Raw genomic sequence first — 21,390 nt, forward strand, 5'->3', positions numbered from 1 at the left:
CTCAGTAATCTGTATTTTTATCCTTCTCCCCAAATAATTCTGATGTGCAGGCAAGTTTGAAAACCACTGCTTTAAAGAAAATGGATACTCCCCTTACCAAGCAGAAAGTAGGATTTTGGAAACTGATGCAAGGGAAGCAAAAAAGATGCCTCAGGAGGCACGATTACAACAGGATTGATGCAAACGGAAGCTGAAGCTTAACCAAAGACATTAATGTACGCCCACAAAAGAAACTGCTAAGGAAGTCAAGTGGTCTGCATGAATTCTGAAGAAAAATGGAGAACCAAAGAACAAAATTTGTCAATGAATTTCCAGCACAGTCTAGGTTAAGGGAGTGAATTTCTTGACTGAATGGCACAGACTCTGTACCACCTGATTGGCTGTTACCTTAATGGAGGAATTATATTACAATGTATAGGTACTTTAATTAGAATGACCTGGCAGTTACTGAGGCAAAATTTTCCGCTCCTTTGTATTCTGTAATACAAGAAGGATCTACATGGATGTTCTGTTCTCTGAACTGTCTGGATGAACCGGTCAACGGCACTCATCATACCTTAGTTTTTAAATCTGCATTGTGGTCATAATCTGTTATTTAATTAATTTCTCGTATTTTTAATAAAAACTTTGCCTATATATTTTAGACAGAAATTGCCTTACTTTGCTGAAATGCTGAGAAATCCTAGACAGTTTTCAAGGCTGGGCTCAAATGTCACCTCTACTACCCTTTGCTGTGCCTCCTGGCACTGTGCTTCTGACACTTTGTACGGTCCTCCATGACAGCGTGAGCACAATTATATTACAGGCAATTACTCATGCCCCCCTGGCTCATCTGTTGACTCCTTTAGAGCACAGATCATGTTTTATTTATTGTAGCAACTAAAACAATTATTTGTTCAACCAATGACACCCATAAACAAAACTACCTGCCGAGGGCAGAGATGCAGGGGTAAAGTCATGCCAAGATTGAACCCCAGAAACCACTGTAGATTTTTCAGAGTTGACTCCTACGTTTTCAGACTTCTAGACTTCAAAAAACAACTCTCTATAAAATGTATGTTTCTAGAAGGAAGAAGAGTAACATTGTCCCCCCTTTTTTTTTTTTTTTTTTTTTTTTTGAGCTGGAGTCTTGCTCTGTCGACCAGGCTGGAGTGCAGTGGTGCAATCTTGGCTCCCTGCAACCTCCACCTCCCAGGTTCAAGCCACTCGCCTGCCTCACTTCAAGTAGCTGGGATTACAGGAGCCCACCACCACACCCGGCTAATTTTTATATTTTTAGTAGAGACGGGGTCTCACCATGTTGGCCAGGCTGGTCTCAAATACCTGACCTCAAGTGATCCACCTGCCTAGGCCTCCCAAAGTGCTGGGATTACAGGCGTGAGCCACCATGCCTGGCCTATAGAGTGCTTTCTATTTGCCAGACATTGTGCTAAGCACTTTAAAATGCATTATTTCATTTTATCCTCAGATCAGCTCCATAAAATAGCTACCATTATTACCTCTACATGTATATAGATATATGTATCTATATATACGTATATCTACATACACTGAAAGTCTCACCAGTGTTTTAACTTTTGCTTTCAACCACTATACATATTTTAAAGAGCTTAAGAGGAGAAACAACCGTTTGCATTTTTAAATTTTCCCAGATACCATTTCTGCTGCTCTTTATCTCTGAAGTTCTAGTATTACCACTGGTATAATTTTCCTTTGGCCTAAAGACCTTCTTTTACTTTTATTTTAGAGCAGAACTTCCGCCAACACATTCTCTTAGATTTTCTTCATCCAAAATGTCTTTCTTCTTTTTCTTTTTGCCTTAATTGTTGAAGGGTATTTTTGCTGGATATAGAATTCTGGATTGACATTTCTCTCAGTACTTTAACGATGTTCTGTAGTTACTTGAATCGCTGAAAGGCTTAAAGTTGGGGACCAGCTCTATCACCTATACATTTTATAGAAAGGTTCATTACTTTCATATCTTCATTGTGGACCATAGCCTTTATCATCACAAAATTTTGTCTCATTTATGAGTTTTTAAATTTTGCTTTGAACCTAAACTTTTACAACTCCTTTCTATTTCCTACAATGTGGAGTTTATGGCGGACAGCACAGGCAGTTGGAAATATATATCTGGAGTTTAGAAAAGAGGTCTAGGTAGGAAAATGGATCTAGAAGTCATTGATATTTTGGCCGGGCGCGGTGGCTCATGCCTGTAATCCCAGCACTTTGGGAGGTTGAGGCAGGCTGATCACAAGGTCAAGAGATTGAAACCATCCTGGCCAACATGGTGAAACCCCGTCTCTACTAAAAATACAAAAATTAGCTGGGTGTGTTGGCACACACCTGTATTCCCAGCTACTCGGGAGGCTGAGGGAGGAGAATCACTTGGACTCAGGAGGCAGAGGTTGCACTGAGCCAAGATCGTGCCACTGCACTCCAGCCTGGTGACAGAGTGAGACTCTGTCTCAAAAAAGTCATCGATATTTTGGTGGTAATTGAGTCAACTGATAATTAGGGGAAAGTTGGGGAAACTAAATGCTGAGGACTATCACATGTAAGAGGGATGTTTGAAGGAGGAATAACTGGTCAAGGAAATCAGGTCATAAGTGGCAACAGGAAATTTAAGAAGGATGTAGTAGCCAAAGGTATCATACATGCATTGTATATGTATGTAGATATATATCTTTCAATGTATGTAGATATACATCTACATACATACACAATGTATGCATGTAGATATAATATACACTGAAAGTATAGATACATATCTACATACATTGAAAGTGTATATATATACACACATACACACACACATATATACAATTATAAGGGGGGGCTAGAATAAAGAAACCTATATGTTTGCAATACTTTTACATTTTATTTAGAGGTAAAATGCTAACTCTAAGTAGGTAGGTTAGGTATATATTTTGTAATTCCTACAGCAAAAACATAGCACAGATATAACCAAAAGCCAATTAATAAAACATAACACTAAAAAATATTCAGTTAATCCAAAAATAGGCAGAAAAAAGAAACAGAAGAAACCCCCCAAAAAAAGAAATAACCAGAAAACAAATAATAAAAAGGAAACCTAAATCCAATCATCATCAATCATATTAAATGTAAATGGTCCAAAACACATTAATTAAAAGACGCTGTCAGATTACATTTAAAAGAAAAACGAAAAAACAAGAAACCATTTGAAAATATAATGATATGGCCAAGTATGGTGGCTCACGCCTATAATCCCAGCGTTTTGGGAGGTTGAGGTGGGCAGGTGGCTTGAGCCCAGGAATTCAAGACCAGCCTGGGCAACATGGCAAAACCCCATCTCTATTTTTACAAATTAAAAAATAAATGAATATCATGATATCTAGATTAAAAGCAAAAGGGTAGAGAAAGATATGTCATTTTAACACTAGTCAAAAACAGTATTATACTACTAATATAAAACACTAATTTTATATTAATATTAAGTAATTTTTTTTTTTTTTCCCCCGAGATGGAGTCTTGCTCTGTTACCCAGGCTAGAGTGCAATGGCATGATCTTGGCTTACTGCAACCTCTGCCTCCCGGCTTCAAGCAATTCTCTGGCCTCAGCCTCCCAAGTACTTGGGATTACAGGCAGCTGCCACCGTGCCTGGCTAATTTTTGTATTTTTAGTAGAGACGGGGTTTCACCATCTTAGCCAGGCTGGTCTCGAACTCCCGACCTCAGGTGATTCACCTGCCTCGGCCTTCCAAAGTGCTGGGTTTACAGGCATGAGCCACTGCACCTGGCCTATTTTGGGTTTTTTTTTTTTTTTTCTTTTGAAATGGAGTCTTGCTCTGCTTCCCAGGCTGGGGTGCAGTGGCGTGATCTCGGCTCACTGCAATATCCAACTCCCGGATTCAAGTGATTATCTTGCCTCAACCTTCTGAGTAGCTGGGACTACAGACGTGTGCCACCACACTAGGCTATTTTTCTCTTTTTAGTAGAGATGGGGTTTCGCCATGTTGTCCGGTCTGGACTCGAACTCCTGACCTCAGGTGATCCACCCGCCTCGGCCTCCCAAAGTGCTGGGATTACAGGCATGAGCCACCATGTCTGGCCAAATAATGGTTTTTAATATAATGATTATTACCAGAAATAAAGGTTATTTCAGAATGATAAAGGGGTCAAATAATCAAGAGGACAAAACTGTAAATGTTTCTGCATCTAATAACAGTGCCTCAAAATACAGGAAGCATAAACAGACAGAATTTTAAGGAGAAAGAGAACAAACCCATAACAATCATTGCAGACTTCAACACTCCTTTCTCAGTAATCACTAGAACAAGCAGACAGGAAATCAGCAAGGATAGGGAAGACCTTAACACGATCAACCAACTTGACCTAATTATTATTTATGAAACACTTTACCTAAAGGCAGCAGAACACATCTTTCCTATTACAAACTGAACATTGACCTAAACAAACAATGTTTCAGGCCATATACAAACCTCTACATTTTTTTTTAATTCATCATAACGAGTATGTTCCCTAACCATAATGGAATTAAATTAGAAACCAACAACAAAGATGTCTGGGAAATCCCTAAATGTTTGAAAATTAAACAATACGTTTTAAAACAAATCATGGGTCAAAGAGTAAGTCATAGTAGAAATTTTACAATATTGTGAACCAAATGAAAATGAAAATAAAACATGTATCACAAATTCTAAGATATGTTTTTAAAAGTGCACAAAGGGGCTGGGCGCAGTGGCTCATGCCTGTAGTCCCATCACTTTGGGAGGCCAAGGCAGATGAATCACCCGAGGTCAGGAGTTCGAGACCAGCCTGGCCAACATGGTGAAACCTCATCTCTACTAAAAATACAAAAATTAGCTGGGCGTGGTGGTGGGTGCCTGTAATCCCAGCTACTTGGGAGGCTGAGGCACGAGAATAATTTCAACCTGGGAGGTGGAGGCTTCAGTGAGCCAAGATCGCACCACTGCACTCCAGCCTGGGCAACAGAGCAAGATTTTGTCTTTAAAAACAAAAACAAAAACAAAAAAACGCATAAAGGAGCACAGTGGTTTAGCCTGGAATCCCAGCACTTTGGGAGGCCAAGGCAGGAGGATTGCTTGAGCAAAAAAATTCAAGACCAGCCTGGGCAGTATAGTGAGAACTCATCTCTATTTAAAAAGAAAGAAAGAAAAATCAAAGAAAATGAGGTATACATGCACAAGAGGATATTATTCAGCCATTTAAAAAGTGAAGTCATCTATAAAGCTTAAGGTTTGGAAAATAAAATCTGTTTGCAGCAACATGGATAGAACTGGAGGACATTATGTTAAGTGAAATAGGCCAAGGGCAGAAAGACAAGTATCACATATTCTCATTCATATATGAGAGATTAAGAAGTTGATTTCATGGAGATAGGCAGTAGAATGATGGTTACCGGGGGCTGGGAAGCAGGTAGGGATGAAGACAAGTTGATTCATGGGCATAAAAACTCAGTCAGATAGAAGGAATACGTTTTAGTTTTTATTTGCACAGTAGGGTGACTAGAGTCAACAATAACTTAGTGTATATTTTAAAATAGCTAGAACATTTGTTATCTTCCCAATACAAAAAAAAGGATAAACATCTGAGATGATGGATACCCTAATTAACCTGATTTGATCATTACACACTGTATGAATCTATCAAAATATTGCATGTACCCTTATAAATATGTACACTCTACCTTAAGGAAACAGTGAAAAAAGGTGTGGAACAACGACCACAACAAAATCAAAGAGGAAAATCTTTGTGAACTTGGGTTTGTCAGGCCAGGAATCAGCAAACCATGGCCAATCCACTACCTGTTTTTCTAATAATCAAAACAATATAATTGATAATTTGTAAATTATGTGAAATTCAAACTGCAGTGTTCATAAAGTTTTATTGGAACAGCTATTATCATTCATTTACATATTGTCTATGACTGCTTTCATTGCTACAATGGCAGAGCTGCAACAGGGACAGCAAGGCTGAAATATTTACTATCTGACCTTTTACAGAAAAAGTCTGGCAAGGTCTGGGTTAGGTAGAGCTGTTAGATGAACACCAAATGTGTAAAAGAAAAAATGTGGTAAATCAGACTTCATCAAAATTTAAAACTTATGCTCTGGGAAAGAGACACCGCTAAGACAATGAAACACAAGGCACAGATGGGGAGAAAATGTATGAACATCACACAGCCTAACAAAGCACTTATATCCAAAATATATAAAGAATTCTTACTACCCAACAGTAAGAAATTGGCCAGGCATGGTGGCTCATGCCTGTAATCCCAGCACTTTGGGAGGCCAAGGTAGGCAGATTGCTTGAGCTCAGGAGTTCAAGACCAGCCTGGGCAACATAGCGAAACCCCATCTCTATTAAAAATACAAAAATTAGCCACACATGGTGGCATGCATCTGTGGTCCTAACTACTTCAGAGGCTGAGGTGGTGGGAGGATCACCTTGAACCTGGGGTCGAGGGGAATGACAGGCTGCAGTGAGCCAAGATCATGCCACTGCACTCCAGCGTGGGTGAAAGAACGAGACTCTGTCTAAAAAAATAAAAGAAGCCTGGCGTGGTGGCTCACGCCTGTAATCCCAGCACTCTGGGAGGCCGAGGCAGGAGGATCACAAGGTCAGGAGATCAAGACCATCCTGGCTAACATGGTGAAACCCCGTCTCTACTAAAAATACAAAAAATTAGCTGGGCGTGGTGGCGGGTGCCTGTAGTCCCAGCTACTTGGGAGGCTGAGGCAGGAGAATGGTGTGAACCCGGGAGGGGGAGCTTGCAGTGAGTCAAGATCGCGCCACTGCACTCCAGCCTGGCGACACAGCGAGACTCCGTCTCAAATAAATAAATAAATAAAATAAAATAAAAGAAGAATAACAATAAAGAAAGCAACCCAATTAAACATCTTAAATAAAGATTTTGGTATCTTGGCCAGGCATGGTGGCTCATGCCTGTAATCTCAGCACTTTGGGAGGCCGAGGCAGGCAGATCGCTTGAGCCCAGGATTCGAAATCAGTCTGGGCAACATATCAAAACCCCATCTCTATTAAAAAAAAAAAAAAAAAAAAACTAGCCAGGTGTGGTGGTGCGCACTTGCAATCCCAGTTACTTGGGAGGCCAAGAGGTGGGAGGATGGCTTGAACCCAGAAGGTGGCGGCTGCAGTGAGTGGTGACTGTGCCACTGCTCTCCAGCCTGGGCAACAGAGCAAGACTCTGTCTCAAAAAAAAAAAAAAGACTTTAGTATTTTTCCATAAACAATGATATACAGATGGCAAATCAAAAGATGCACATAAAAAGAGGCTCAGAACCATTAGTCATTAGGGACAAGGAAATTAAAACCAGAAGAAGCTACCACCATATACTTATTAAGGTGGCCAAAAAAAAAAAAAAAACTTGAGGCCGGGCGCAGTGGCTCACGTCTGTAATCCCAGCACTTTGGGAGGCCGAGGCGGGCAGATCACGAGGTCAGGATATCGAGACCATCCTCGCTAACATGGTGAAACCCCGTCTCTACTAAATATACACAAAAATTAGCCGGGCGTGGTGGTAGGCCCCTGTAGTCCCAGCTACACGGGAGGCTGAGGCAGGAGAATGGCATGAACCCGGGAGGCGGAGCTTGCAGTGAGCCGAGATCGCGCCACTGCACTCCAGCCTGGGTAACAGAGCCAGACTCCATCTCAAAAAAAAAAAAAAAAAAAAAAAAACCTGAAAATATCAAGTGCTAGGGAGGATACAGAGCAACCGGAACTCTTCATACATTTGCAGGTAAGAATGCAAAATGGTACAGCTACTTTGGAAAACAGTTTTGGCAGTTTCTTATAAACATACAACCCAGAAATCATACTCCTAGGTATTTACTCAAGAGAAACAAGAATTGTGTTCAGACAAAAAACATTATGGAAATGTTTACGGCAGCTTTATTCATAGGTGCCACAAACTAGAAATAATTGAAATATTCAACTATTGAACAGATAAATGCACTGTGATACACTCATATAAAGGACTGCTACTCAGCAATAAAGAAACTACTGATACAACAACACAGATGAATCTTAAATACATTATGCACTGTACACGTATAAACTAAAAAATTAAAATACCTATTTAAAAGTCAAACAGGCCGGGCGCGATGGCTCACACCTGTAATCCCGGCACTATGGGAGGCCGAGGCCGGCGGATTACCTGAGGTCAGGAGTTCAAGACCAGCCTGGCCAACATGGTGAAACCCTGTCTCTACTGAAAATACCAAAAATTCGCCAGGCGTAGTGGCGGGCGCCTGTAATCCCAGCCACTCAGGAGGCTGAGACAGGAGAATCGCTTGAACCTGGGAAGCGGAGGTTGTGGTGAGCTGAGATCGCGCCACTGCACTCCACCCTGGGCAACAAGAGCGAAACTCTGTCTCAAAACTAAATAAATAAAGTCAAACAGTACATGAAAAAATAATATGATCAAGAGAGGTTCACTGCAAGAATGTAAGGGTGAATCAATATAAGATCTACTAATATAATTCTATGAATATACACTACTGTAATTAATATGTAGCATGCAGGAGGAAAACTATATGATCATCTTAAAAGATGCTAAGATGTCATTTAACAAAATATAATAGCCATATCTGATTTAAAAAAAAAAAACTTAAACAGAAAAAAAATTGAAATAGGTGAATATACTCAACACATTAAAGGTCTCAAACCAACAGTTAACCATTAAATATCTGCAACAGTTCCATTAAATTGGGATAGCATACTAAGATGCCTATCATTATAACTAACATTTGACATTGTTTTGGAGGAGGTGGTAGGGAATGCAATTTTTTTCTTTTTTCTTTATTACCCAGGTTCCCATCAATGGTAAAGGCAATGTAATTTGAAGAGAAAAAGGAGACATAAATATAAGAAAATCAGATGTGTACATGATTCATGTTTGCAGATGACAAAACTTTATTCCTAGAATAAAGTTATTCCAATCAAAGCAAAAGCTACAAGAAACAATTAGAAAAAAGAATAGGTGGCTGAATTCAAAATTAATTTTTTAAATTAATGAGTTTTCAACTAGAAGCCCCCTAGCAGAGCAGGTATTTTCATAGACAAATTAAAGATTAAATAAGATATCATGGCATAAGTGAAAATATTTAACAAATAAATTATACTTCATCCAATTTTGTAAAAAATACATACATATACCTGTGCCAGGTGCAGTGGCTCACGCCTATAATCCCAACACTTTGGGAAGCTGAGGCGGGCGGATCGCCTGAGCTCAGGAGTTCGACACCAGCCTGGGCAACACGGTGAAACTCCATCTCTACTAAAAAATACAAAAAATTAGCTGGGTGTGGCAGCGAGCACCTGTAGTGACTACACCACTTTGTTGACGGCCGTCCGGACCTGCAGCTGTCCGGGCCAGGTGGCTGCCCCCGCCTCCCCCCGGCCGGGGCGCTGGTGCTGGGGTGGGGCTGGCGGCGGCGGCGGCTTTCTCCGGCTACTGCTGCCCCCCCTGGGCGAGCTCAGCCGCGTCTTGGGCGCCACCTCAGCCTGGGCGGCGGCCCACCTGCCCCGGCTGCTGCCGCGGTGCCGCGAGCGGAACCCCGGATGGGTCCGGACGTGGGCGGCGGCGGCGGCGGCGGGGCCGGGGCGCAGCGCTCCGCAGAGGGAGCCGCGGGCTGCTTGGTCGGCCTGCCCCGCCGGCCCCTCATGTTGGAACCGAGGCGGAGGGAGAAGGGAAAGCGGCCGGGAAGGGGCGGGCGCAATGGGCGCAGTGGGGGCGGCCGGGGCCGGGTGGGGAGGCCAGAGGGGCAGGGCAGGAGGGGCCCGGCCTGCGGAAGCGGTTGGAGGGAGAAGGCTCAATCCGAATGGCTGGGGCCTCACTGCGGATCGCCTTCAGCCGCCATCTTGTTTCTTCCGTTACCGGAGCGCGGTCACGTGAGCTGAGCAGCCTACGAGCCTGGGACGGGGCGAGGTGGCGCGGCGGCCGCTAGGGGGAGCGCGGGAGCATTGAGTCGGGGGCGGAGAGCCTGGGGCGCCGGGGCTGGGCGCAGCGCGGCGCGGCTGGACTCCGGGCGCGGTGGCGCCGTTGAGAGAGACGCGCAGCTCGCGAAATGCCCCGCGGCTAAGGCCTTCGGAGACCATAGTCTCCGCGGACCCCTGGCTGGAGCCCAAAGCCGGCCGGACCTCCTCCCTGCGTCTCCCCTTCCGCGGCTCGGAGAGGAAGGCAGGAGAGCCCCCAAATATTCCCCTCCCGCCCCCTAGGGAAACTGAAGCTGAAAGAGCCAGCGAAAGAAAAAAAAAGTCTCGGAGTGGGGCGGCCCGAGCGACCTAAGGGACGGGGCAGCGCCAGCGACCGAGGGAAATTAGTCGGGGTGGGGGAACAGGGAGACAAGCCCCCAGAATTTAGGAAACTCCTAAATTCTACTAAAAATACAAAAATTACCTGGGCATGGTGGCGGGTGCCTGTAATCCTAGCTACTGAGGAGGCTGAGGCAGAAGAATCGCTTGAACCCCTGAGGTGGAGGTTGCAGTGAGCCAAGATTGCGCCATTGTACTCCAGCCTGGGCTGCAAGAGTGAGACTCCTTCTCAAAAAATAAAATAAAATAAATCAAGAAAAGTCTGGAAACCATGCCAACTGGTGAAATGAATAAAGAAATAAATGTTGTCTGGACTGAGTGGCTCACACCTCTAATCCCAGTACTTTGGAGGCCGAGGCGGGCAGATCACTTGAGGCCAGGAGTTCAAACCAGTCTGGGCAACATGGTGAAACCCTGTCTTTTCTACAATTGCAAACAAATTAGCCGGACGTGGTGGTGCATGCCTGTAATCCCAGCTACTCGGGATGCTGAGGCCCGAGAATCGCTTGAACCTGGGAGGCAGAGGTTGCAATGAACTAAGATAACGCCACTGCACTCCAGCCTGGGTGACAGAATGAGACTAGGTCTCAAAAAAAAAATTATAATTCAGTAACATAGTCAGTTACAAGATAAACATTGAGCCTGCCTCCTAGGTTCAAGCGATTCTCATGACTCAGCCTCCCGAGTTGCTGAGATTACAGGCGTGTGCCACCATGCCTGGATAATTTTTTGTACTTTTAGTGCAGACGGTGTTTCACCATGTTGGTCAGGCTGGCCTCCAACTCCTGACCTCAAGTAATCCACCCACCTCAGTCTTCCAAAGTGCTGGGATTACAAGCGTGAGCCACTGTGCCCGGCCTCAATTTGGGTTTTTATGGAAGCTTCATTACAGAGTCATTAATGATTACACCGTTGGCCGTTGGTGGTCAGCTTAACCTTCAGCCTCTCTCTCTTTCTCAGAGGTTGAGAGTGGCACTGAAAGCCCTGACCACCAGCCCCAATCCTGAGGCTGTCTAGGAAAGCCTAATCAGTCAATCATTAGCATAAAAAAAAGACTTATTTTGCAGATTCTGAGGGTTTTAGGAATTGTATGCCAGGAACCAGGAAGATCAAATACGTGTTTCACAGTCTCACAGGACCACATAGAGGAGATTGGTCATCAGTGTTTCTCAACAGAAGCGCTTTGGCCTTTTGGACAAGCCAGTTTACACACTGTAGGAAGAAGTTTAGCATCTCTGGGCCCGGATACCAAAGGCTAGTACCAGCCTCATCATTTTTACAACCAAAAAGGTAACCTTGCCCGCTCCCCATACATTCCCACTAGGAGGTGTCAGAACCACTTCCGGCTGAGAACCACTGGAATACATTTTGGAATATCCAAAAAATGTACTTCCATTTTAAGAAAATAATGTGGGATTGGTGTTTTTCATTTTTTAATTATTTGGAGGAAATTGCCAATGACAAGTGCTTGAACAAAAAATCCAAATTACAGACTAGTGTATATATAGTGTGATGTATCCATTCAATTCACTCAGGAAATGTTTATTTAACACTTAAGGTGTGCCATGCACTGTTTCCATTCCACATTCTGTACAGAGTGGGAAAATATTTGTAGTTTATATCCTTTATATGTAAATAAATAGGTCAGTTGCACTTCAAAGCCAACAAATAAAAGTGATCTCTAAATCTAAACCCCAAAGACAATCATTTTTAAACAACTTTAGAATATATCTTGTATATATTGTTTTAATGCATGTGTTCATATATAAACACATTTTATACAAAAACAATCTAATGAGGAAGAAAAATTATACTTTGGGAAAGAAGGAGCCGGGTGCAATGGTTCACGTCTGTAATCCCAGCACTTTGGGAGGCCAAGGGAGGTGAATCACATGGCGCCAGGAGTTCAAGACCAGCCTGGCTGACATAGTGAAACCCCATCTCTACAAAAATACAAACATTAGCTGGGCGTGGTGGCGCACACCTGTAGTCCTGGCTACTCCGGAGACTCAGGCAAGAGAATCGCTTGAACCTAAAAGGCAGAGGTTGCAGTGAGGCGAGATCGCGCCACCACATTCCAGCCTGGGCGACAGAGTGAGACTCTGTCTCAAAAACAAAAACACATTATTGCTAAGGTAATTTGCTTTTGAGTTCAAGACCAGCCTGACCAACATGAGGAAACTCCGTCTCTGCTAAAGTTTCAAATATGTATAAGTACTGGCATATTTTAAAAATACATTTTATTTTCTTTTTAGTTTATAAGATATGTGATTCCTTCTTTACATCTACCTATTTTTATTTCTGCCTCTTTTTTTAAATAGGGTTAATTTTTTTTTTTTAAATGGAGTCTTGCTCTGTTGCCCAGGCTGGAGGGCGTAGGGCTGCCTCTGCTCACTGCAATCTCCGCTTCCCGGGTTGGAGCAATTCTCCTGCCTCAGCCTCCTGAGTATCTGGCATTACAGGCACCTGCCACCATGCCCAGCTTTTTTTGTATTTTTAGTAGAGACGGGGTTTCACCATGTTAGCCAAGCTGGTCTTGAACTCCTGACCTCAAGTGATCCTCCCTCCTCAGCCGCTCAAAGTGCTGGGATTACAGGTGTGAGCCACCATGCCCGGCCTGTCAAATTGCTCTATAATTTCATTTGGAGTGAATTCAGATTAGACCATTGATTTTATTGGCTTTTTTTTTTTTTTGCTTTTTGAGAAGCAGGGCCTTATTCTTTTTCCTAGGCTGCAGTGCAGTGGTGCAATCACACCCCATCGCAGCCTCCCCCTACCCAGATCAGTAAGTCCTTCCGCCTCAGGCTCCCAAGTAGCTGGGACTACAGGCGCGTGCCCTGCCACCATCTCTGGCTAATTTTGGGGTGTTTTTTGTTGTTATTGTTGTTGTCATTGTTTTTTTGTAGAGACAAGGTTTTGCCATGTTGCCCAGGCTGGTCTCAAACTCCTGGGCTCAAGCAAGTGATCTTCCTTCCTTGACTTCCCAAAGTGCTGGGATTATAGGCATGAGCCACCGTATGGGCCCTGGTTATCTTTTTTTCATATTACACATTTTCATTTTCAAACATTTGAATTTTGCAAGCTTATTTTGAGTGAGAGGAGTGTTGTTTTCTTCTCTCCTGAAGCCCAGTGTAGCCCAGTCAACCCTTAACTTCCAGCAGGGAGCCAGCGCTTATCACTGCCTCACACACAGCATGTTAGCCTCCCTTATCCCCGAGAAACTCATACTGTTAGTGTTCAGCCACCACTTCCTCCTTCTGCATCTGGAGTCTAGAAGGCCTGCAGTTTTAGTCCTGCTCACAGTTTTGTGTCTGTTCCGTTGAGATTGTTGTAACTTATTTAAGCATGACTATGTCTTTTCAATTTCTCTTTTTTATATTTTACTCTCACTTGTATGTTCTTGAAGGGAGAGGGAGGATCAAAGTGTGCGCCCGCTATACCATCTTGGTTTTCCCAAAATCTGTCCCACGATGTTATAAAAATATATGAACTAGGAAATGAAACTCAAGGTTTTCTTTCTAACCAAGGAAGAAGTTCAGTCTCTCTCTATAAATAGAGAAGGGCTGTTGAATAATTTGTCACATTGCTTCTCTTTTGACTTTATAAGACTAGATAGTCTATAGACAGAGAAACAGTTTCATTAAACCAGGGCCATTCAGGTTTATTTGGTAAAATATTTGTGATATATTTAAAAGCTTCCTGAGGTACTCATGTAATGATTGTTACTAGTATAATTGGTGCATAGGGCTGGGTGACCCTGCAAAAAAAGAGGCACAGCAAACTTTATTTCAGGTACAGATGGACCTTACCTTTAGGCAAATCCTTGAAATTTTGGCGTGGGGAATCAGGTTTTTCTGTGGGTTTTTTGTTTGTTTTTGGCTTTTCATAGACAGCTATATGAAGTCTCTGCTTTAGAATCTATAAAACTATAGCTTCAGAGGCTGGGCGAAATGGCTCATGCCTATAATCCCAGCACTTTGGGAGGCTGAGGTGAAAGGATCACTTGAGGTCAGGAGATCGAGACCAGCCTGGCTAACAGGGCGAAACCCCGTCTGTACTAAAAATGCAAAAATTAGCCAGGCATGGTGGCAGGCACCTGTAATCCCAGCTGCTTGGGAGGCTGAGGGAGGAGAATCACTTGAACCCAGAAGGCGGAGGTTGCAGTGAGCCGAGATCATGCCACTGCACGACAGAGCGAGACTCCATGTCGAAACAAAAAACTGTAGCTTCAGAGATTCACTTAAATTATCATTTATAGGCCAAGAGAGTTGTGGCTCACAGCCTGTAATCCCAGCATTCTAAAAGGCTGAGGTGGGTGGATCACTTGAGGCCAGGATTTTGAGACCAGCCTGGGCAACATGGCAAAACCCTGTTTCTACAAAAAGGAATTTGCTGGGTGTTGTGATGCACACCTGTAGTCTCAGCTACTTGGCGAGGCTGAGGCCAGGGGACTGCTTGACCCCAGGAGGTCGACCCTGCAGTGAGCCATGATAGCACCACTGTACTCTAGCCGGGGCGATCAAGTGAGGCCCTATCTCCAAAAAAAAGTTTTGTTTTGTTTTGTTTTAACAGGGTCTCACTTTGTCATCTACATTGGAGCACAGTGGTGCCATCACAGCTCACTGAAGTCTTCACCTCTCAGGCTTAAGGGAGCCTCCAACCTCAGCCTTCCAAGTAGTTGGCACTACAGGCATGCGTCACCACACCTGGCTCATTTTTGTATTTTTTAGTAGAGATGGGGTTTCACCATGTGTCCAGGCTGGTCTTGAGCTCCTGGACGCAAGTGATCTTCCGCCCTCGGCCTCCCAAACTGCTGGGATTACAGGTGTGAGCCACTGTGCTGGACGAATTTTTTTAAAGAAGGAAAAATAAAATTAATTCGGCCCTTCATTAAAAAAATTAAAAACTCTTTAAAGGAAACGTGGGCTAAGTTATTTTTCTGAGAGACTATAAGATTTGGGAAGAAAAATAATCATGATGAAACGTTTTGGGAATATTTTTGGTATTTAAAATTATTGTAGAAATTTATAAATGTGTCAGATTTTGGCTGGGCACAGTGGCTCACACTTGTAATCCAAGCACTTTGGGAGGCCAAGGTGGGCAGACCACCTGAGGTCGGGAGTTCGAGACCAGCCTAGCCAACATGGTGAAACCCTATCTCTAAAAGAATTTTTAAAAAAATTTTAAGTCAGATTTTAAGAAATATTCTTATGGCTGGGTACAGGTGGCTCATAACTGTCATCCCAGCACTTTGGGAGGCAAAGGCAGGCGGATCACTTGAGCTCAGGAGGTAAGTTACCTGGGCAACACAGCAAGACTCCATCTCTACAAAAAAAAAAAGTAGCTGGGCATGGTGGTGAGCACCTGTAGCTACTTGAGGGGTTAAGTCAGGAGGATCACTTGAGCCTGGCAGGTCAAGGCTATAGCAAGCCGTGTTTATGTCACTGCAGTCCAGGCAGGGTGACAAAGTGAAACTCTTATCTCCAAATGAGAAAGAAATCCTCTTGGTCGTAGATATGATTTCTTTACACCAAGTTTGTTCGTGGATGCCAATCACAATGGGTTTGTCCCTAGGGTAATATAGTTTGCTTTGATCATTTCCAAGAGTAAGTTGTACTACAGGATAGCAGAAGAGATGCACTTAAAAAGTATGGCAAAATGCATATTGAGACAATAGTATGTTGGCCAGACACAGAGACTCACGCTTGTAATCCCAGCACTTTGGGAGGCTGAGGTGGGTCACCTGAGGTCAGGAGTTCAAGGCCAGCCTGGCAAACATGGTGAAACCCTGTCTCTAACAAAAATACAAAAAATTAGCTGAGCTTGGTGGCACGTGCCTGTGGTCCTAGTTACTTGGGAGGCTGAGGTGGGAGGATCACTTGAGCCTGGGAGGTGCAGGGTACACTGAGCCGAGATTGTGCCACTACACTCTAACCTGGGTGACAGAGTGAGACCCAGTCTTAAAAAAAAAAAGAAAAAACAAGATGCAGTAAAGAAGCCGACCAAAACCAAGATGGTGACGAAAGTGACCTCTGGTCGTCCTCACTGCTCGTTAAAACTTTTTTTTTAAAAATATGAAAAGAGGCTGGGCCCTGTGGCTCACACCTGTAATCTCAGGACTTTGGGAGGCAAAGGCAGGTGGATTGCCTGAAGTCAGGAGTTTGAGACCAGCCTGGCCAACGTGGCACAACCAAAAATGCAAAAATTAGCCAGATGTGGTGGCACACACCTGTAATCCCAGCTACTTGGGAAGCTGAGGCAAGAGAATTGCTTGAAGCCAGGAGACAGAGGTTGCAGTGAGCCGAGATCATGCCACTGTACTCCAGCCTGGGTGATAGAGCAAGGCTCTGTCAAAAAAAAAAAAAAAAAAAAAAAAAAAGCCTGGCCTGGTGGTGCACGTCTGTAGTCCCAGCTACTCGGGAGGCTGAGGTGGGAGGATCATGTGAGCCTGGGAGGTCCAGGCTGCAGGGGGCCGTGATCCTGCCCCTGCCCTGCAGCCTGGGTTATACAGCGAGACAAAAGAAAAAAGAAAAAAGTTAGTGGTAACAGGATAAACTACATAACCGTATATTATTCCTTCACATTCATGAAGCAGGTCAATTTGAAGCTTGAGGACGACTTCCATTCCTCTAGGTGAATCTACCAAGAAATGCCTTGGTAGAGCTAGGAGTGCCAATGGTATCAGCAAGGCCAGCCTGGTTCCCTGTGATTCATGGTAATTCTCACTATGACTTTGACATGATGTTCCTACACTGTGCCTATCAACACTTGTAGACACACTGTATAAGCGTTTGTTACATTTACTTTTTCTTTTGTCATTAGGTCTTTTATTACAGAGGCCACTGTGCACTCCACAATCACACACTTACACAGCTCCGCCTTGCCAGGCAGTGTAGACCCTGCCAAGCAGTGTAGACAGATTCTGGATAACTATCTTTGCATCCTTCCCCATACCATGTCCCAGATGTTGAACTGAAGCAGCTCCTTCCATGTTCCCTACCCGTTAATTAGCCAGGCCGCTGCCCACATTGTCACAAACATTATATTAACTGAAAAACTGGCCCATGCCATATTCCATTATGAGAAATTATTTTAAATTCGATTAAATTCCAATGTTTATTCAGAAAACCTGGTAGAGATTGAATTGCTCTATGTACCTTTCTTAGTTTTCTTCTTCATAGCATATTTTGACCATTTATCTTCTACACCTGGCTGACCTGCATGGTCCTTGTAGTGTAACTTCTACTTGGTGTTTGCGCTTTGCTTTGTTTTCAAATTTAAATTGTGAGATACATTTTTAAACCTATCTAAGAAATAGCCCTGATATTGAAATGGCTTCTGTGGAATAGGTTTGACAGATGTAAGTCTTTGATTCTTTGGCTTTGGTTTTTGTGCTTGTTACAGTTTTACACACATTCATTCAGAGGAAGACATTACCATCAATGTGTTGTTTCTTTTTTCAAATTCCAGTATGTTTTTAAAGACCCATATTTCACTAAGCAGTGTACTTGTTGAAACTGATGTGAGTGACTTTATGTTTCCACATGTGATAGAGCATCAGATACTGGAGTTTGCCAGGGGTAGAATGGTTGGATTCAGGAATGTTTAGCTGACTCATAGCAGGAAGTTACACTGTAAAAAAATGAAGCAAGGCAGGGAAGACAGATTTAAGTACCATGCAGCTCAAAACGACAACTACATTGTCATTTTCATTGTGAATACTTTTAGGTTCTATATTGGCTGTGATCTTTGTACTAACTGGTATTATGGAGAATGTGTTGGCATCGCAGAAAAGGAGGCTAAGAAAATGGATGTGTACATCTGTAATGATTGTAAACAGGCACAAGAGGGCAGCAGTGAGGAATTGTACTGTATCTGCAGAACACCTTATGATGAGTCACAGTGAGTTCTGATAAGAGCATCACATTTAATAATTTAGGAAGCCAAATTGCTCTGACTGGTTACTTATTTACTTTAAAATAAAAAGCAGATTTTTTCTACATTTGTTATACACTTACGTTACAAATTCCTTTTCATTTTTTTTTTCTCTTTTTCCCTTTTTACCTACCCTTCAAAATTTATCTTGCTTCATAGTGAATGTTTGAGACACATTGGGGAAAATGTGGTTTAATGGTAGATTTGATTCTTCAATATGTAACATAGAAATTAATGAGATTAAAATAGCCTGACTTGTTTGGACTTTATCAGTGTTTGAAATGGTGCTTTATTGCAGGTTAGAAAAACACTAATTTGGGTATAAGCTTTGAGACTCTGTTATTACCTTACAGGATTTTGAACTCCCATATGGTACAGTACTAGTTGAAAGATTTGTGACTTGTTTTCAGCTTTAAAATCAATTGAATGTTTCATATTTATCTTTAAATTGGTTCTCCAAAATTACAGTGTTCTTATAAATTTTTTTACTGCTTGTTCTTAACATCAAAAATACTAAATTAATGTACTGGAATGTCGATCTTGAAAGTATTAAAACCATAATACTAAAACTATTTTATATCCCAGGGTTTAGCAAATTTTCAGGTGCATGCTTTATTATAAGTAACATCATCCCATCTGTTTTGAACTCACATTTCCATTTCAGATCTTGCAGATTTTTTATTGGCCGTGATCGGTGTCAGAATTGGTACCATGGGTGCTGCATTGGCATCTTGCAAAGTGAGGCAGAGCTCATTGATGAGTATGTCTGTCCACAGTGCCAGTCAACAGAGGATGCCATGACAGTGCTCACACCACTAACAGAGAAGGATGATGAGGAGTTGAAGAGGGTGCTCCGTTCCTTACAGATGAGAGCCCCTCTGTGTGCAGCATTTGAAAATGAAATCAGCCGGCATAATTTTGGAAGCATTTCTAGGATTTCAAGTTTCCAATGTTAGGATTTCAAGTTTCCAATCTTAGAGTGATTATTTACTGACTCTCAGCTAGTCTAGTGAAGGGCTTGACAAACTTCAGTCCTTCACATACCAGTGTCATGAGCTTTATCATATCCCCACACCACCTCAGCTTATCTAACACTCAGATAATCTAACGTGACTCACTTCTTTATACATTTTATTTTTAAAGAAACTTCCTCTCACTCCCATGGATTGAGAAACAGTATGATTAGATTATAGTTATTATTTTCCTTATGAAAGACAGAAAGGGGGCTGGGTACGGGGGCTCACACCTGTAATCCCAGCACTTTGGGGGGCTGAGGTGGGCAAATCATGAGGTCAGGAGTTTGAGACCAGACTGGCCAACATGGTGAAACCCCATCTCTACTAAAAATACAAAAAACTAGCCGGGTGTGGTGGCGTGAGCCTGTAATCCCAGCTACTAGGGAGGCTGAGGCAGGAGAATCGCTTGAACACAGGAAGCAGAGGTTGCAGTGAGCCAAGATAGAGCCATGGCACTCCAGCTCGGGTGACAGTGCGAGACTCTGTCTCAAAAAAAAAAAAAGGAAAGAAAAGAAAAACAGGATAGGTATGGTTTGCAGGATTAGCAAGTGATACAGATGTATTGAAGACATAGAAGGCCAGTGTGGTTGCTCACCCCTATAATCCCAGCACTTTGGGAGGCCAAGGCAGGAGGATCACTTGAGTCACTTAGTTAGAGACCAATCTGGGCAACAAAGTGAGACCCCATCTCTACAAAAAATAAAAATAAAAAATTAGCTGGGCATGTTGGCACGCACTTGTTTATCCAGCTACTCGGGAGGCTGAGGTGAGAGGATCACTTGAGCACAGGAGGCTACAGTGAGCTATGATCGTGCCACTCCACTCCAGCCTGGATGACAGAGCGAGACCCTGTCTCAAAACAATGGGGGGAAATAAAAGGATATAGTGCATTGGATTGAAACTTTCTCCTATTTTTATCATAATCACAAGAATTGAAGAAACTAAAAAGGGAATCGTAGTCTCAATGTGTGGTTGAATGTTATCTAACATCACATCTCTGCCACCTCATCATTAATCAGCTGTGGTAATGATTCCACACTTTGAACCCATCCCACCTGTTTACAGAAGCAGTTGCAATGCCAGCATCACTCAGTGACAGCTCACCATGTAGGGCCCAGAATACTGCTTTTGTGACTTCTAAACTTGTGTTCCACCCCCCACACTGTGGGGAAAAGAAAGAGAGATCAGATTGTTACTGTGTCTGTGTAGAAAGAAGTAGACATAGGAGACTCCATTTTGTTCTGTACTAAGAAAAATTCTTCTGCCTTGAGATGCTGTTAATTTATAACCTTACCCCCAACCCCGTGCTCTCTGAGACATGTGCTGTGTCAACTCAGGGTTAAATGAATTAAGGGCTGTGCAAGATGTGCTTTGTTAAACAGATGCTTGAAGGCAGCATGCTCCTTAAGAGTCATCACCACTCCCTAATCTCAAGTGCCCAGGGACACAACCACTGTGGAAGGCCGCAGGGACCTCTGCCTAGGAAAGCCAGGTATTGTCCAAGGTTTCTCCCCATGTGATAGTCTGAAATATGGCCTCATGGGAAGGGAAAGACCTGACCGTCCCCCAGCCCGACACCCTTAAAGGGTCTGTGCTGAGGAGGATTAGTATAAGAGGAAGGAATGCCTCTTTGCAGTTGAGACAAGAGGAAGGCATCTGTCTCCTGCCCGGCCCTGGGCAATGGAATGTCTCGGTAAAAAACCCAATTGTCTGTTCCATCTACTGAGATAGGGAAAAACCGCCTTAAGGCTGGAGGTGGGACATGCGGGCAGCAATACTGCTTTGTAAGGCATTGAGATGTTTATGTGTATGTGTATCTAAAGCACAGCACTTAATTCTTTATCTTTTCTATGATGCAGAGACCTTTGTTCACGTGTTTATCTGCTGACCTTCTCTCCACTATTATCCCATGACCCTGCCACATCCCCCTCTCCGAGAAACACCCAAGAATGATCAATAAATACAAAGGGAACTCAGAGGCCGGCAGCATCCTCCATATGCTGAATGCAGGTACCCTGGGCCCCCTTATTTCTTTCTCTATACTTTGTGTCTTTTTCTTTTCCAAGTCTCTCGTTC

At 43.1% G+C, this 21,390-nt stretch overlaps 1 protein-coding gene and 1 long non-coding RNA gene across 4 annotated transcripts in view, besides 8 other annotated features; one reads left to right on the plus strand and one right to left on the minus strand.

Moving 5' to 3' along the window:
* Positions 1 to 221, plus strand: part of LOC105376844 (uncharacterized) — a 59,955-nt gene extending 59,734 nt beyond the window's left edge. For both annotated transcript variants that reach the window (XR_934912.4, XR_001752972.3), the window contains one exon: positions 51 to 221. This is a non-coding gene — a long non-coding RNA (uncharacterized LOC105376844). The remainder of the gene's footprint in view (positions 1 to 50) is intronic.
* The window catches only part of LRRC37A3 (leucine rich repeat containing 37 member A3), a 65,349-nt gene extending 55,415 nt beyond the window's left edge, over positions 1 to 9,934 (minus strand). For both annotated transcript variants that reach the window (NM_001303255.3, NM_199340.5), the window contains exons 1-2: positions 9,887 to 9,934; positions 9,206 to 9,326 (exon numbers count right to left, since the gene is read on the minus strand). In NM_001303255.3, the coding sequence (NP_001290184.1) occupies positions 9,206 to 9,321 (116 nt within the window). In that variant the 5' untranslated portion in view covers positions 9,322 to 9,326; positions 9,887 to 9,934. The remainder of the gene's footprint in view (positions 1 to 9,205; positions 9,327 to 9,886) is intronic.
* Positions 9,284 to 9,663: a silencer, noted in NCBI's record as "silent region_8853". NCBI's record gives its function as "represses an Ori minimal core promoter by ATAC-STARR-seq in GM12878 lymphoblastoid cells {active_cell/tissue: GM12878}" and the evidence as "EXISTENCE:reporter gene assay evidence [ECO:0000049][PMID:35858748]".
* Positions 9,734 to 9,823: a silencer, noted in NCBI's record as "silent region_8854". NCBI's record gives its function as "represses an Ori minimal core promoter by ATAC-STARR-seq in GM12878 lymphoblastoid cells {active_cell/tissue: GM12878}" and the evidence as "EXISTENCE:reporter gene assay evidence [ECO:0000049][PMID:35858748]".
* Positions 9,734 to 10,259: a biological region, named in NCBI's record as "H3K27ac hESC enhancer GRCh37_chr17:62915421-62915921".
* Positions 9,759 to 10,259: an enhancer, noted in NCBI's record as "H3K27ac hESC enhancer chr17:62915421-62915921 (GRCh37/hg19 assembly coordinates)". NCBI's record gives its function as "activates a minimal SCP1, AML or CMV promoter by ChIP-STARR-seq in naive H9 embryonic stem cells {active_cell/tissue: H9 hESC(naive)}" and the evidence as "EXISTENCE:reporter gene assay evidence [ECO:0000049][PMID:30033119]".
* Positions 9,924 to 10,143: a silencer, noted in NCBI's record as "silent region_8855". NCBI's record gives its function as "represses an Ori minimal core promoter by ATAC-STARR-seq in GM12878 lymphoblastoid cells {active_cell/tissue: GM12878}" and the evidence as "EXISTENCE:reporter gene assay evidence [ECO:0000049][PMID:35858748]".
* Positions 10,335 to 10,836: an enhancer, noted in NCBI's record as "H3K4me1 hESC enhancer chr17:62915997-62916498 (GRCh37/hg19 assembly coordinates)". NCBI's record gives its function as "activates a minimal SCP1, AML or CMV promoter by ChIP-STARR-seq in naive H9 embryonic stem cells {active_cell/tissue: H9 hESC(naive)}" and the evidence as "EXISTENCE:reporter gene assay evidence [ECO:0000049][PMID:30033119]".
* Positions 10,837 to 11,336: an enhancer, noted in NCBI's record as "H3K4me1 hESC enhancer chr17:62916499-62916998 (GRCh37/hg19 assembly coordinates)". NCBI's record gives its function as "activates a minimal SCP1, AML or CMV promoter by ChIP-STARR-seq in naive and primed H9 embryonic stem cells {active_cell/tissue: H9 hESC(naive and primed)}" and the evidence as "EXISTENCE:reporter gene assay evidence [ECO:0000049][PMID:30033119]".
* Positions 20,247 to 20,541: a silencer, noted in NCBI's record as "tiled region #3243; K562 Repressive non-DNase unmatched - State 7:EnhWF". NCBI's record gives its function as "represses a minimal TATA promoter and a strong SV40 promoter by Sharpr-MPRA in K562 cells {active_cell/tissue: K562}" and the evidence as "EXISTENCE:reporter gene assay evidence [ECO:0000049][PMID:27701403]".

The sequence above is a fragment of the Homo sapiens genome, chromosome 17 (genome assembly GCF_000001405.40).
Source record: "Homo sapiens chromosome 17, GRCh38.p14 Primary Assembly".
In the NCBI taxonomy this organism is placed as follows: domain Eukaryota; kingdom Metazoa; phylum Chordata; class Mammalia; order Primates; family Hominidae; genus Homo; species Homo sapiens.